We start from the raw sequence: 16,352 nt of genomic DNA, 5'->3' as shown, positions 1-16,352 counted from the left end.
CTCTAGTATTTGGTGCCCTGTAGTCGGAACTTAAAACTGGCAATCTGTCCTCCAAATCCTTAACAAGACAAAATAAGTAAAGTACACTAAATTTTTCTAAGTCAATTTTATTTTAAATTGAACTTTATTAATTTTATTTTGACCCTAGAATATTAGAATTAGAATCATAGTAAACAAATGTTTTCCTTTACGTTATAAATTACATTTATGTTAATTAACATAAAATAAGTTTCTCATCAGAGGGCAGGTTTCAACTTAGTACAGTAAGTCCTCACTTAAAGTAATGAATAGATTCTTGGAAACTGCAGCTTTAAGCTAAATGACATAGAATAAAACCAGTTTCACCATAGGCTAATTGATATAAACAAGAGTTAAGTTCCTATAGCCTATTTCTGGTCACAAAGAACATCACCTTCTAAATAAAGATCCAACACATTTCTGGTATTAAACATTGTGAAATAAATGTGAGTTAAACATACATTTAAGAAAGTTTAATAGAAACAAGATCATCATTTACCCAATTTTTGATGAGTCAGCGATGATGGTCATAGTGGTGGTGAGTTAAAATAAGGAATAAATGTTTGTAAAGCAGAAATTGTAAGGAGCACCTTCTACTACCATGTTGTTCAAAAACAAGCAATAACAAATATGGCATGCTTGCTGAGCACTTTCATACTACATCATTTGTTGTTGTGCATTTGTATGATGATTGTATATTTGACAAGTTTTTATTTTGCAGTAATTTACATTCATTCATTTTCCAACCCACTTACTCCACTTTGGGGTTGCAGGTGGCTGGAGCCTATCCTAGAAGCTCAGGATGCGAGGTGGGAACCAACCCTGGATAGGATGCCATTCTATCACAGGGTGTCCTCCTACCCCGACACTCAGCCATACTGAGACAATTTAGATGTGCTAACTAACATAACATGCACATCTTTGGGATGTGGGAGAAAACCCATGCAGACATGGGGAGAACGTGGAAACTCCACACACTGTGGCCCCAGACAGAAATCTCTATATTTTTCCTCTTCAGTATTAAAAATGAAACAATGTTGAATGAAACATCATTTGAAGATCTGTTTATAACTTTGTTCTCTGGCCCTAGATCTACTGTCTAAAAATTGTTTTTATGTCTTTTCTCTAAGCTGTACATTCTGAGGTCCTTCCACTGTTGCCATATAGCATTAATTTCTAGACCATATTTTTTCTAGACCATATTAATTTCTAGACCAATATTTTCTGGATACCCTACTTTGGATCTGTTACATTTTGTTAGTATTCCTTTTTAAATAATTGTATTTAGAATTAATTGCAATATACTTAATGTAGTATAGGTACAAAACACACTGCATCTATGAATAAAGTTCTATAGTGCAGTCTGATTGCACTAGCTTTTTTTTTCATCAATACTATCGGGTCATGTTGAGCTGCAGTTCACTGAAACACTTAAGTGTGTTAGAATTTCAAATCCTGTAAATTTAGATTCAGTAGGCATTTGTTGAACACCTGTTCACTACTAGATGTGCTTGTATAAATTTCTGCTGTTTATTTTACTGATAGTAAGTTTAAAATGTAGAAATTGACCAGTAGATTTATTGTACTGAGGATGATTCTGTAGTTTAGGAGACATGACTAGAATTTCAATGAGAACAGATTGTAAGGACAGAAATAAATAAATAAAAAGAATTTCTAAATGATTTTGTTAAATGCAATAACAACTTTATGTAAACTACAGATGAACTGATAATAGAGCACATGTAAGAAAATGTCTAAAAAATGTTATTGGAAATAAAATTAGAGCTGTAAATCATTAACAAGGAAAAAACATTAACTTATATACAATTTATTTTTTCCATATTTCTTAAAATATATTAAATTCTAACATAGAAAACCAACTTAAGAGATTTAAAGATTCCCATCTACTCAGATTTATTATATTCAAGTTGAATTATTAAGCAAGACATTTAATTTACTTATTTTGTCTCACCTTTCAATATAACTACTTTTTTTTTGTTGGAAGATTATAAGAATGGAGAGTTCTGGTATATCAAAGGCCCACAGCCCAGAATATAAACCACCAGACTTGGAACTATGGTTGTTGTGTAAAGGATAAGGACTGAATGATTCTGTCTTCAGAATATTTTTGTATTTTTTTTTTTAGAAGCTCTTTTCTTTGGCTCTACATCTAGCCATTAGGGCTCTTTCTGTATCTGGTTAGGCAAAGTGGCTTTTCTTTCAGCCAGCAAACGTAAAAGCAGAGATTTAAGGGATGGAGTCATGATGATATTTCCAGTGGACTAAGATAAAGGATTGAAGAAATGGCATGGTCTATACTAGTAAAGATTTCCTCACAGCTAGTCCATTTTGAATGGAGAGATAAGTATGGAATAGGGAACCAGTTATCTGCCCAACACAGTACCTAATAATGAGAATAATTTTCTGTATTCAAAGGTTCTTAGTGGTTGTTAATGTCTTAAAAGAGACCATTTAACTGGAATGGAAGTGTTTTCTTTGGAGAAAAGCAGGAAACATTGGATAGATCTTAATTATACAGACCTTGATACTTAGGCAGAAAGTAGAGATTCTACTTAGGAAACTAGAAATTACTTTTTTTTTTTTTTTTTTTGAAACAAGGTTTTGCTCTGTCACCTGGGCTGGAGTGGAGTTCAGTGCAGTGGCATGATTATGGCTCAGTGCTGCATCAAACTCCTGGGCTCAAGTGATTCCTCCCACTTCAGCTCCTGAGTAGCTGGTATTACAGATGCCCAGCTGATTTTTAAATTTTTTGTGTGGGGGTGGCTAAATGATGAGAGCACATGGACACATAGAGGGGAACAACGCACACTGTGGCCTTTTGGAGGATAGAGGGTGGGAGGATGGAGAGGACCAAGAAAAATAACTAATGGGTACTAGGCTTAATACCTGGGTAACGAAATAATCTGTGCAACAAACTCCCATGACAGGCCTGGCATGGTGGCTCACGCCTGTAGTCCCAGCACTTTGGGAGGCTGAGGTGGGTGTATCACTTGAGGTCAGGAGTTTAAGACCAGCCTGGCCAACATGGCAAAACCCCATCTCTACTAAAAATACAAAAAAGTTAGCCCGACTTGGTGGCGCTGGCCTGTAATCCCAGCTACTCGGGAGGCTGAGGCAGGAGAATCACTTGAACCTGGGAGGTGGAGGTCACAGAGAGCCGAGATTGAGCCACAGCACCCCAGCCTGGGCAACAGAGTGCAACTCTGTCTCAAAAAAAAAAAAGCAAACAAAAAAAAAAACTCCCATGATAAAAGTTTACCTACATAACAAACCTGCAGTTGTACCACTGAACTTAAAATAAAAGTTAAAAAATAATAATAATAATTTTTTTTTGTAGAGATGGGGTGTTGCTATGGTGCCCAGGCTGGTCTCTCAAATTCCTGGGCTCAAGCAATCCTCCGACCTCAGCCTCCAAAAGTGCTGGGATTACAGGCATGAGCTACCTCGTCCAGCCTAGATACATTCTTGAATATGTAACTTTGGGAAGATTTATTAATTGATTAAGGACTAGGAGGTCCAGCTAAAATGCAATTGGATTTATAAGGTACTTAAATCCAGATTTAAGGTATGAAATCAAGAATGGCGAAGAAATCAATGAACTGAGGTCTTAAAGAATCAATTCATTTTATTGACTAGCTGAATACAAGGGATGATTGACACAAGATGAAAATTGAGTGTTAAGAAAGAATAACAATGGGCAAGTATGAATGATTAGGACATAAAAGGGAGCAAAAGAAGAATGTAAGAAAAAATGTAAATAGCATATTTATCAAACCTTTTTATATTGCATTTCTTGACTAACATGATATATTTGTAATTTAGTCATACTTAGTATTTAGGAAGTAAAGTCATCAAATAAAATATGAATGTTTGATTTCTAAGAAGTTTAACTTTTTGTATAAGGAAATGATTATAAGAGAATCTAATATTAAAATAACATTTGGGGGGCTTATATATATAGTCTGACTTTCTGGAATAAATTTTCCAGATTGAAATCTACTTCATACACAGTTTTTAAGCAATCTTTCAGTCATTTTTTCATCAGAAGAAATCAAGGCAGTTTAGAAACAGTAAAACTTTATATTTGCCTAAACTCAACAACTAGGTTTTTTATATTATAAAACAGTCATGTTGGATTAAATCTGATTATTATTTTATTGAATGCGTATTCCTAACACTGAATTTTAAAGCTATCTTCTCTAGTTAATAGAGCCTTTTTGTTTTTAAGTATTTATATTCCAGAAACAAGAATCAAGCAAAAGCACATTTTAATCTTTCCTGTAAATGTTATATATTTGGACACTTTATAAGACTTCATAGTAGGGTAATAAAAAAATTACCATGTTTCGCCAGGCATGGTGGCTCATACCTGTAATCCCAGCACTTTGCGACACCAAGGCGGGAGGATCATTTGAGGCCAGGAGTTTGAGACCAACCTGGCCAACATGATGAAACCACGTCTGTAAAAAAAAAAAAAATACAAACCTTAGCTGGGCGTGGTGGCACAGGCCTGTAGTCCCAGCTACTTGGGAGGCTGAGGTGGAAGGATAGCTTGAGCCTGGGAGAAGGAGGTTGCAGTGAGCTGAGATCACGCTACTGTACTCCAGCCTAGGTGACAAAAGAAGACTCTGTCTTAAAAAAAAAAAAAAAATTACCATGTTTAGTGAAATTGTCATGCATTTATTTTAGACCCCATAACTCAGGCCTTTACGTAAAGGTATTGAAGAATAGCTATTTATAAATTTTCTGTCTGGTATAATACTGACATACTGTGTATTATTCCACTGTCATTGAGCAAGGATAGTCATTCTGTGGCCGAGGCACTGTATATACACAGTTCCTTAGAGCTTCAAGTGCAGAATAGAAGTAAGGCATATTTGGAGGAAGTAATTACCATTACAGATTGTGTTGATGCTGGATTGAAAGTAAAATTAAATGTTCAGAAAACCTAAAGTAACATAGTGCCATACAAGGACATGTCTAAACAACAAACTAGCAAAACCATATTGATGGCATGTATTAGTATCTGAATATCCCTATCATGTGAGTAGAAATAGTCTAAACTTATAGACTCAAGGAAATTTTAAATTTAAAATAGTCCCTTTTTGAAGGCATAGTATAAAACCTACTTTGGCAGCCCCTAAGGCGAAGATAAGTGGAAAGGAAAAATCAAACCATACCACACTGGGAGGAGATTATTATTATCGAACACAAGAAAAGAAAGAGATATATCCTCTCTATGTGCTTGGAATTGTTCCACTGAATCTTTCAATTTGTTAATACATTTAAATCAAGAATTTTCATATTTTTTTCTGGAGAATTATAATAAATATTTTAATAGTTCAAATGTTTCAGGCTTTCAAATATAAATCAGATAGTTAGAAATAAAAGGAAAATAGACAAGGAAAAAGTCTTCCTCCATGGTGGTTTACTAAAACATCAGTGATAAAATTGCAGTGTTATTACAGATAGCAACAGTCTTTAAGAGATAAAATTATGCTGAGATAAATTGTAGCACTTTTGCTGATAAGAATCATGCAACAGAGAGGAAGATTAAAGATGCAGGAGAATATCTAAAGGAATATCCTTAAGTAAGTAAGTGAAGATCAAAGAGAAGGAATTTGTCTTATGAACAGTGAGGGTTCATTGATACTAGAAAGAAGTAAGAGTTGTATGCACACAGATACATGTTAGATTTGGTGGGAACTGAGGAAATTTCTGATAGTTTCTGTTTTCTCAGTGAAAGTAAAAATGAAAGGGAAAGTGTTGGAAGTTTGAAAGAAGAGAGGGGACACAGCTGTCTGATGTGTTTCTAGGAGAATTAGAGAATGAATGGACCGAGATTGCCAGAAAGCCCTTAAACCAATTTTAGTTACAAAAGATAATAGTAAAGAAAAATTATCTCTTCACAGATGACACAATCATGTATCTGGAAAACCCTTAAGATTCCACCAAAAACGGTTAGAACTAATGAATTTAACAAAGTTGTATGATACAAAATCACACAAAAATCAATCGTGTGTCTGTTCACTAACAATGTACAATTCAAAAAGGAAATTAAAACAATTCCATTTATAAAACATCAAAAAGAATAAAATATTTGGGGATAAACGTAACCAAGGAGGTAAAAGACTTATGTACAGCAACTACAAAAAAAAATTGCTGAAAGAAATTAAAGACAATAAATAAATGGAAAGGCATCCCACATTTATGGATTGGAAGACTTAATATTGTTAAAATGACAGTACTACCCAAAATGATCTACAAAGTGAATGCAATTCCTATCAAAATCCTAAATTTTGTTTAACAGAAATGGGAAAAATTTATTCTCACATTCATATGGAATCTCAAAGGACATGAAATAACCAAAACAAATTTTAAAAAGAAAGTCGGAGGTCTCACTACCTGATTTCAAAACCTCCTACAAAGCATAAAGCTAGACATAGAGATTCATGAAAATAGACCCGAGGGCCCACAAATAAACCCTTGCATATATTTTCAAGTGATTTTCACCAAAGGTGCCAAGAAGTACCAAAGATCCTCATTCAGTAAAGAAAGGACTCTTCAACAAACGGTATTGGGAAAATTGGATATCCACACCAGAAAAGAACAAAGTTGGATCCTTACCATACACCATATACAAAAAGTAACTAAAAATTAATTTCTAACTCAAAGACCTAAGCATAAGAGTTAAAAAATACAAAACTCTTAGAAGAAAACAAAGGGCAAAAGCTTCAAGACATTGGATTTGGCAGTGATTTCTCAGATATGACACCAAAAGCACAGACAAAACAAGTAGATCAATTGGACTTCATCAAAATTTAAAACTTCTGGCCAGGCACCGTGGCTCACACCTGTAATCCCAGCACTTTGGGAGGCCGAGGCATGTGAATCACCAAGTTAGGAGTTTGAGACCAGCCTGGCCAACGTGGTGAAACAACACAAAAATTGGCCGGGCATGGTGGCGGGAACCTGTAGTCCCAGCTACTCGGGAGGCTGAGGCAGGAGAATTGCTTGAACCTGGGAGGCGGAGATTGCAGTGAGCCGAGATTGTGCCACTGCACTCCACCCCGGGCAACAGAATGGGACTCCATCTCAAAAAAAAAAAAATTAAACTTCTGTGCATCAAAGGACACTATTACCGTGAAAAGTCAGTCCACAGAATCAGAGAAAATATTTGCAAATCATGTATCTAATAAGAGATTAATATCCAGAATGTATAAACTCAATAAAAAGTAAACAACCCAGTCAAAAAATGGGCAAAGGACTTAAATAGACATTTCTCCAAAGAAGATATACAATTGGCCAGCAAACACAAGATGCTCAACATCACTATTCATTAGGAAAATGGAAGTGAAAACCACAATGAGATACCACTTCATTTTCATTAGAATGGCTATTATCAAAAACAAAAACAGAAAATAACATGTTGGCAACGATGGGAGAAGTTGTAAATTGCTGGTGAGAATGTAAAATGCTGTAGCCACTGTAGAACACAGTATGGCAGTTTCTCAAAAAAATGAAAAATAGAATTACTGTAAGATCCAGCAATTCCACTTGGACATATACCCAAAATAATTGAAAGAAGGATTTCAAAGATATTTGTACACCATGTTCATGGCAGCATTATTCATAATAGTCCAAAGACAGAAACAACCTAAATGCCCATCATCACATGAATGGACAAACAAAATGTATACACACACAATGGAAAACTATTCAACTGTAAAGAGGAAAATTTTGTTGCATGCTACAACATGGATGAATCTTGAAAAAGTTATGCTAAGTGAAGTAAGCCAGACACAAAAGGACAAATACTGTATGATTCCACTTACATGAGATAACTAGAATAGGCAAATTCATAGAGACAGAAAGTAGAATGGTGATTTCCTGAGGCTGAGGGGCAGAGGAGATGGACAGTTAGTGTTTAAGCAGTATCACTTGGGGAAGATGAAAAAGTTCTGGAGATGGAGGGTTGCACAACAGGGCAAACATATTTATACCACAGAAGCATGCACTTAAGACTGGTTAAAATGGTGACTTTTATGTATATTGAACCACAATTTTAAAAATACAATTGACCCTTGAACAATGTGAGGATTAGAGGCGCCAATCCCCATGCAGTTGAAAATCTATGTATAACTTTTGGCTTCCCTAAAACTCAACTACAGATAGCCTACTGTTGACCAGAAGCCTTACCAATAACATAAAGTCAATAACATATTCTGTATGTTATGCATATCATATACCATATTAAAGTAAGCTAAAGAAAATATATTTACTATTGATTAAATGGAAGTGGATCATCATACAGGCCTTCATCTTCACTGTTTTCACATTGAGCAGGCTGAGGAAGAAAAGGGGTTGGTTTTGCTGTCTCTGGAGTGGAAGAGGTGGAGGAGGTGGGAGAGGAGGCAGGAAAGGCCAGGCACAGTTGGTGTAACTTTACAGAAATAATCGTAATTTCTGCCTGACTTTTTTGCTTTTTTTATTTTTCTAAAAAGTGTTTTTATATATTAACAATCGTCTGTCCACCTTTTGCTTTAGTTTCAGTGCCCATATTATAGAAGAGTCCATGTCATAAAAGAAATCAAAAGTAGTCTTGAATAATTGCAACCCTTCTGCCAGACTCTCTAATGTCAGTGCCAGCAGTATATGTCTGGCACTGCTTCTATGTTGTCTTCCTCATCATCTGGCACTAGTGCAGAACCGATCATCTCGATCAAGTTGTCTGTTAATTTCTATGGTGTGGTGTCTGTTAGCTGTTGAATTTCTCAAAGATCCATATCTTGAAACCCTTCGGCCTTCCCCAACCATACCTTTTTTTGTCATAACCACAGTCTCTTTCATGATTTCCTCGATTGTCTCTGTCATAAATCCTGTGAAGTCATACACATCATCTGGACACAGTTTTCTCCAGGAATGTGTTTAAGACTTGATGGCATTCACAGCTTTTTCTGTAACAACAGTGGCATAATCAGTGGTGTAATTCTTCCAGACTTTCATGTTATTCTATCAGGGTTCTCTTCCACAGCGTTGATAGTCATTCCCACAGAGTACAATGTATAATGAGCTGTAAAGGTCCTTATGACCCTAATACAGAGGATGAAATAAAGACATTGTGTGGGGGCACGTAGACCACCTCAGTGCTTTTGGTGTTGAACTTGTGGTTCTGGGTGGCCGGGAGTATTGTCCAATATCAAAAGAACTTTAAAAGGCAGTCCCTTATTGGCAAGGTACTTCCTGACTTTGGGAACAAAGCATTGATGGAACCAATCCAGAAAAAGCATTCTCGTTCATACCTTCTTGTTGTACAACCAAAAGACTGGCTGCTGGTGTTTTTTCCCTTTGAGGCTCAGGGATTAGCAGCTTTATGGCTAAGGGCAGCAAACCGACTGCATTTGCACAGAACAGTAGAGTTTGCCTATCTCTTCCTGCCTTAAATCCTGGTGCTTGCTTTTCTTCCTTACTAATAAATGTCCTTTGTGGCATTTTCTTCCAGAATAGGGCATATTTATCAGCATTAAAAACCCATCCTGGGCTGGGCATGGTGGCTCACACCTGTAATCCCAGCACTTTGGGAGGCCGAGGCAGGCGGATCACGAGGTCAGGAGATTGAGACCATCCTGGCTAACATGGTGAAACCCCGTCTCTACTAAAAATACAAAAAATTCGCCAGGCGTGGTGGCAGGCGCCTGTAGTCTCAGCTTCTCGGGAGGCTAAGACAGGAGAATGGCATGAACCCAGGAGGCGGAGCTTGCAGTGAGCCTAGATGGCACCACTGCACTCCAGCCTGGGCGACAGAGCAAGACTCCATCTCAAAAAAAAAAAAAAAAAAAACCTGTCCTTTCTCCCCAGCGATTTTCTTAATGGTGTCTGGGAACTCATCTGCTGCCTCAAAGCCGCTTCTCCTGTTATCTTGACATTTTTAAAACCAAACGTCTTTCTGAAACTCAAACCATCCTTTGCTGGCACTAAATTCTTCAGCTTAAGATCCTTCACTTTAAGTTGTCTTAAAATGACTTTACTCTTTCTGAAAAGAGACTGTCTATCTGGTATACTACCAACTAGTGTAATAACTGGGACAGTGCCTGGCACATAGTAGATATTCAATAAAATATTTGTTAAATAATTTACAGGCACCTTTTATATTTGAAAAAAATTATGTTTAAGTTTTTATCTGGAAAATGTATGTGATGAGGGGGACCCTGAAGGACAATTCCTTAATATAATTGATAAATACAAATATATGTTATATATTTCTCAAGTGAATGCAAACGGATTTATCTTGGTTACATGTTAAAAATTGTGCAGGTCAGGATGGGCGCAGTGGCTCACCCCTGTAATCTCAGCACTTTGGGAGGCCAAGGCAGGTGGATCACCTGAGGTCAGGAGTTCAAGACCAGCCTGACTAACATGGTGAAACCCTGTCCGTCTCAAAAAATAAAAAAAAAGTGCAGGTCAGGCATGGTGGCTCTTGCCTGTAATTTTAGGACTTTGGGAGGCCAAGGCAGGAGGATTGCTTGAGGCCAGGAGTTCAAGACATCCTAGGCAACATAGCAAGACCTTGTCTCTACAATAAAATAAAAATGTAAAGAGCTGTGCATGGTGGTGTGTGCACTTGTAGTCCCAGCTACTTGGGAGGCTAAGGTGGACTGATCACTTAAGCCCAGGAGGTCAAGGCTGCAGTGAGCTACGATCATGGCACTGTACCCCATCCTGGGCAACAGAGTACCCTGAGATGAGAAGTAAAACAAATCCTGTAGCTCTTGATCTTCCTATTCCCTACCTATTTCCGGTCCATTTACCAGGTAAGGAAGTATACTCCTAAAGTTTCCACTTACTCAGATGTAGAAATGAATTTCTTTTTCTCTAAAAGATACGGAAACTACTCTCTTAAAAAAAGAAAAAATAAAAATTTAAAAAACGTTGTGCAGAAACTTGAGACAATAAGGAGCAGAGTTATATGTGAAATCCAGGTTGCTTAGATAGGAGATTAGCTACATATATTTTTTATTAATGGGAAAAATACTCAGAAAAATTTCATATGGAATGTGACCCTGTGCTTTGTATAAGTAATTAGATATTAGAATGGAAGAGCAAATTTTAGTGCTTTGGTTGTGTACATCACCTTACTATTCTGTAATAGATGTAACTTTAGCATAGTCATTTTAATGATGAGAACATGGGGCAAAAAAGATTGTCCAGGCTTGAATGGTGGCACCACTAGAGTGGTGGCAATTTTCTGATATCTTTTAGAGAAAAGGAATTTCATTTCTACATCTGAGAAAGTGGAAACTAGGAGTTTCTTCCTTACCTGGTAAATGGGCCAGAAACAGGGAATAGGAAGATTAAGAGCTATGGGATTTGTTTTATTTCTCATCTCAGGGTACCAAATTAACTCATCATCCCAAGGATTCATATTTTAGAATTACTTAAGGATTCATATTTTAGAATTACTGTATCAAATGATATCCAACTCTAAGAGAACTTCTAGTATGAAGATCAATGTTGAAAGTAAAATATTTAGATTATTAATAACAAATTATTTAAGGGAGAATTAGTTTGTTTAGAGCTTTTTTTCTTAACTATATTTGGAATTAAAATGTCTTAATTAGATATTTAATAAAATTAACATTTAGAATTAAAGTATTTTTCTTTAAAAGTATATTTGCATTTTGCTAGCTTAAGTTTATTGAAACTGAGCTCTTGTATGTCATTTCATGTTTTTCCCTTGATGTGAAGTCTTACCTATTTGATGAAGATGTCTTTTGAAAGGTGTACTGCAAGGAACAAAATGTTTGTAAATTCTCCTTTTACCAAGGTAAAGATCAAATTTTATAAATTTACTTGTTTGTTTATACAAGGAAAAATAACTTCATATATTGAATATATTCAAAAGTTTAAGCATTTAGTTGTATTGCCCTGTTAAGTTGGCATAGCAAATAAATGCTTTTCTTTTCCTCATTTTATTCTTTGTGTTTCCTAACCTATAGCACTGTGCTGGGCACAGAATGGACTTCAGTTAAGTTTTTGATGTAGAAATGTTTTATTATTCTACTTAAAATCTCCTTAAAAATAATTATGCATATTACATCAATGTTATAATGTTTAAACATAGATTTTTTTACATGCATTCTTTTTTTCCTGAAAGAAAATATTTTTTATATTCTTTAGGCGCGAATGTGTGTTTAAAAAAAATAAAACCTTGGAGTAAAGTAGCAGCACATAATGGTTTGTGGATTTTGAAAAGGTGCAGGCCATATTGTGCTGCCTCAAAAATACAAGGATCTGATCTTCTGAAGAAAATATATTTCTTTTTATTCATAGCTCTTATGATAGCAATGTCAGCAGTGCCTTAGCAGCACGTAAATATTGGCGTTAAGATTCTAAAATTATCTCCAGTATTAACTGTGCTGCTGAAGTAAGGTTGACCATACTCTACAGTTGTGTTTTAATGTATATTAATGTTACTAATGTGTTTTCAGTTTTATTGATAGTCTTTTCAGTATTATTGATAATCTTGTTATTTTTAGTATGATTCTGTAAAAATGAATTAATACTAATTTTTCAGATGTATCATCTCTTAAAATACTGTAATTGCAATTTAATAATTGTATTGAATGCCATCAAGTTTTTTTAAAAAGCTTATGCAGCATTAGAGGAATTTATTTTAATGCACATTTATATTCAACATAGACATTAATTCAGATTTTTACTTGGGATAAAACAAATTCTAGTTTTCCCTTTGTTTTGAAATTACTTTTAAAATATGTCTTTACAGATAAATATAAAATATATTAAGCATTTTGAACAGAGCTTAGAAGACAATATTTAGTACTGTTTCTGAATATTTCTTTATATCTGAAGGGGAAAAGCCATCAAAATATGTGAATTAAATACCTAAAATTCTGGTTGTCAAAACGTCACACTTAACCATAACTTTAAAGGTAGAAAAACCCTTACAAGTGACCAACCCACTCATTGGATAGCTAAGGAAACACAAAACTCAAATAATTTGCTACACATCACAGATTGGGGTCTTAGTCTTATGTCTTCTAACTTTATAATGGTATACTATTTTTTTCATGTTTTTATTAAAATGTTTTCTTAAATCCTTAGCCAAAGATTTTTGTTTGATAAGTCAAAAATAAGGTCTTGTTTACTTTGTTTACTTTTTTGTATTCAAGATTTAACTCAGAGTAAGACCAAATTATCATTGTAGTTTTATTGATATAAAATGTCAACATAATTTAATTTTTTTTTTTACTTTTTTGTATTTTTAAAATTTTTTATTAAAAATAAAAGTAGACAGCCAGGTGCGGTGGCTCACGCACTTTGGGAAGCCGAGGCAGGCGGATCACCAGGTCAGGAGATCAAGACCATCCTGGCTAACACGGTGAAACCCCATCTCTATTAAAAATACAAAAAAAATAGCCAGGCGTGGTGGCGGGCGCCTGTAGTCCCAGCTACTCGGGAGGCTGAGGCAGGAGAATGGCATGAACCTGGGAGGCGGAGCTTCCAGTGAGCTGAGATCGCACCACTGCACTCCAGCCTGGGTGACAGAGGGAGACTCTGTCTCAACAAAAAAAAAAAAAGAAAAGAAAAGTAGAGCTGGGCACAGTGGCTCAAGCCTGTAATCCCAGCACTTTGGGAGGCCGAGGAGGGTGGATGACGTGAGGTCAGGAGTTCGAGACCAACCTGACCGACATGGTGAAACCCCATCTCTACTAAAAATACAAAAAATTAGCCGGGCGTGGTGGCACATGCCTGTAGTCCCAGCTACTCGGGAGACTAAAGCAGGAGAATTGTTTGAACCGGGGAGGCGGAGGTTGTAATGAGCCCAGATCGCGCCATTGCAATCCAGCCTGGACAACAAGAGTGAAACTCCATCTCAAAAAAATAAATTAAAATGTAAAAATTAAAACTAAATAAATAAATAAAAATAGAGACAGGGTCTCACTATGCTGCCCAGGCTGGTTTCAAACTCCTGGGCTCAAGCAGTCTTGCCTTAGCCTTCCACTGTGCTGGGATTATAGGCATGAGCCACCACCCCTGGCCTAATTTAATTAAAATCTGAACAAAAGGCCGGGCACGGTGGTGGCTTATGCCTGTAATCTCAGGCCAAGGCAGGTGGATCATGTGAGGTCAGGAGTTCGAGACCAGCCTGGGCAATGTGGTGAAACCCTGTCTCTACTAAAAATAAAAAATTAGCCAGGTGTGGTGGCGGGCGTCTGTAATCCCAGCTACTTGGGAGGCTGGGGCAGGAGAATCACTTGAACCCGGGAGAATCACTTGAATTCCAGTCTGGGCAACAGAGCGAGACTCCATCTTAACGGCAACAACAACAAAAATCTGAACAGAAATGCTCTATTTACGTTCTTTTCCTTATCTGTAGTGTTTTAAAGTCATTAAACTTAAAAATGATGTTCAGGAGAAGATGAGTGTATTTGCATAGTCTGTCATAACTCTGGTATTATTTTGTACAAGGAGTGTGTTAGGGTTTTCAGTTGTAACCATGCAGAAAATCTACAAAATAAAAGCAGTTGTTAATTAGTCCTTTACAATCAGAATTGTCTATTTTGGAAATTTATGAAGTACTTCAGATGTAATTTAAGAAATTGTATTTGAGCCAAGCGTGGTGGCTCACACCTGTTATCCCAGCACTTTAGGAGCCTGAGGCAGGTGGATCACAAGGTCAAGAGTTCGAGACCAGCCTGACCAACATGGTGAAACCCCATCTCAACTAAAAATACAAAACTTAGCTGGGCGTGGTGGCGCGCGCCTGTAATCCCAGCTACTCAGGAGGCTGAGTCAGGAGAATTACTTGAATCTAGGAGGTGGAGGTTGCAGTGAGCCGAGATCACGCCACTGCACTCCAGCCTGGAAAGGAGGGGAAAGGGAAAGGAAAGGGGAAAGGGAAAGGGAAAGGGGATTGTATTCGAGGCTGGGCACGGTGGCTCACGCCTGTAATCCCAGCACTTTGGGAGGCCGAGGCGGGTGGATCCTCTGAGGTCAGGAGTTCTAGACCAGCTTGGCGAACATGGCAAAACCCCGTCTCCACTAAAAATGCAAAAATTAGCCAGGCATGGTGGCCGGGGCCTGTAATCCCAGCTACATGGGAGGCTGAGGCAGCAGAATCGCCTTAACCCTGGAGGCAGAGGTTGTAATGAGCCGAGATCATGCCACTGCACTCCAGACTAGGCGACACAGTGAGACTGTCTCAACAACAACAAAAAAGAAATTGTATTCAAAAGCTTAAGGACCTTTTTGTTTAAATTCTAATTTGAAGATCAAATATTATATTAAAGTTCTCATTTTTTATCCAGCAATATTTTGTTCCCAATATACCATACATAGTGGATAGAACTAAATGCCAGCGTTTGCATGGAAACACTGTCTTGGTGCTTTTAAAAATCATTTATCAATCTCTTAACTTGTTTTATTTCCTTTCAACCATTGCATGAAAGACTTCACCAAATATATAATTTTTGATTCCACTAAAAATATTCCAGGACTTAACACAAATGCTTAGAATATTTATTGAATGAATTACAAAGTTTACCCAATACTGTCTAATATTTTTTAGAACAACCCAGGAGTTAGGTGTTTTTTGTTTCTTTTTCTTTGTATTCCTAAATGTATCTGAAGTCAGGTTTTAGAAAATTATATTCAATCTGTCTTCTAAATGACAAGAAAAAATTTGCATTTTACATTTACCAGATGATTCTTTATATCTTTAAGTGCTCTTAAGTGTGATGAAGGATCATTTGCAGCTTTTATAGCTAAATGAAGACTTTTCTTATTTTTAATCCTGACAATGAATTAAAGGAAAATTGAAATATTTGAGAAGTAAGAAAATATAGGAAAAGTGTTGCATTAAAACTTATAGTATGTACATTCCAGTCTCTTCTTAGAGAAGAGGAGGTGGCCTGTCGATATCTAATGAAAAATAACATTTAGGAAACTCTCAACAGTGCTGGATGTTTTATTTGTAGAGTTATAATTTTGAAACACATAAGGAGCCAGCAGTAAAATGAAAGTTTATACCTTTTAGTGTTAATCTTATTTTGGCTTTTTGTTTTGCAAAACAAACTGCACATAGTTATATAGGGGTATATATTAAGTTTTCATTTTTTCTTGTTTGGAAAAAAATACTAATCTTTTTCATTTAGGTTTCTTTTTTAATTGATGCCAAAGAGTTCCAATATTGAACATCTTAAGTCTGTTACTTGGATTACGGATTGAGTTTGGAGCTTACTCAGAGGACTACAGGAGAGTATCCAGGAAGTAGCAAGAAATGTATTTCAGTC

General features: G+C 36.4%; 1 long non-coding RNA gene and 2 other non-coding genes across 9 annotated transcripts in view; all 3 read left to right on the top strand.

The window, feature by feature from the left end:
- DLEU2 (deleted in lymphocytic leukemia 2) overlaps positions 1–16,352 on the top strand; it is a 142,993-nt gene that overhangs the window by 64,095 nt on the left and 62,546 nt on the right. For 3 of the 7 annotated variants that reach the window (NR_152572.1, NR_152568.1, NR_152567.1), the window contains one exon: positions 11,785–11,863. The exons of 1 other annotated variant lie outside the window; for it this stretch is intronic. This is a non-coding gene — a long non-coding RNA (deleted in lymphocytic leukemia 2). Of the gene's footprint in view, positions 1–11,784; positions 12,259–16,214; positions 16,330–16,352 lie in introns of those variants that run through there. 3 more of the 7 variants (NR_152569.1, NR_152570.1, NR_152566.1) reach the window with 2 other exon arrangements.
- Positions 12,246–12,328, top strand: MIR15A (microRNA 15a). Its single transcript, NR_029485.1, has one exon. It is a non-coding gene; the product is annotated as a microRNA 15a (primary transcript).
- Positions 12,386–12,474, top strand: MIR16-1 (microRNA 16-1). The gene has a single exon (NR_029486.1). It is a non-coding gene; the product is annotated as a microRNA 16-1 (primary transcript).

This window comes from Homo sapiens, chromosome 13 (genome assembly GCF_000001405.40).
Source record: "Homo sapiens chromosome 13, GRCh38.p14 Primary Assembly".
NCBI classification, from domain to species: Eukaryota; Metazoa; Chordata; class Mammalia; order Primates; family Hominidae; genus Homo; species Homo sapiens.
The sequence above is the reverse complement of the archived record's forward strand: the minus strand, read 5'-3'. Positions and strand labels throughout refer to the sequence as shown.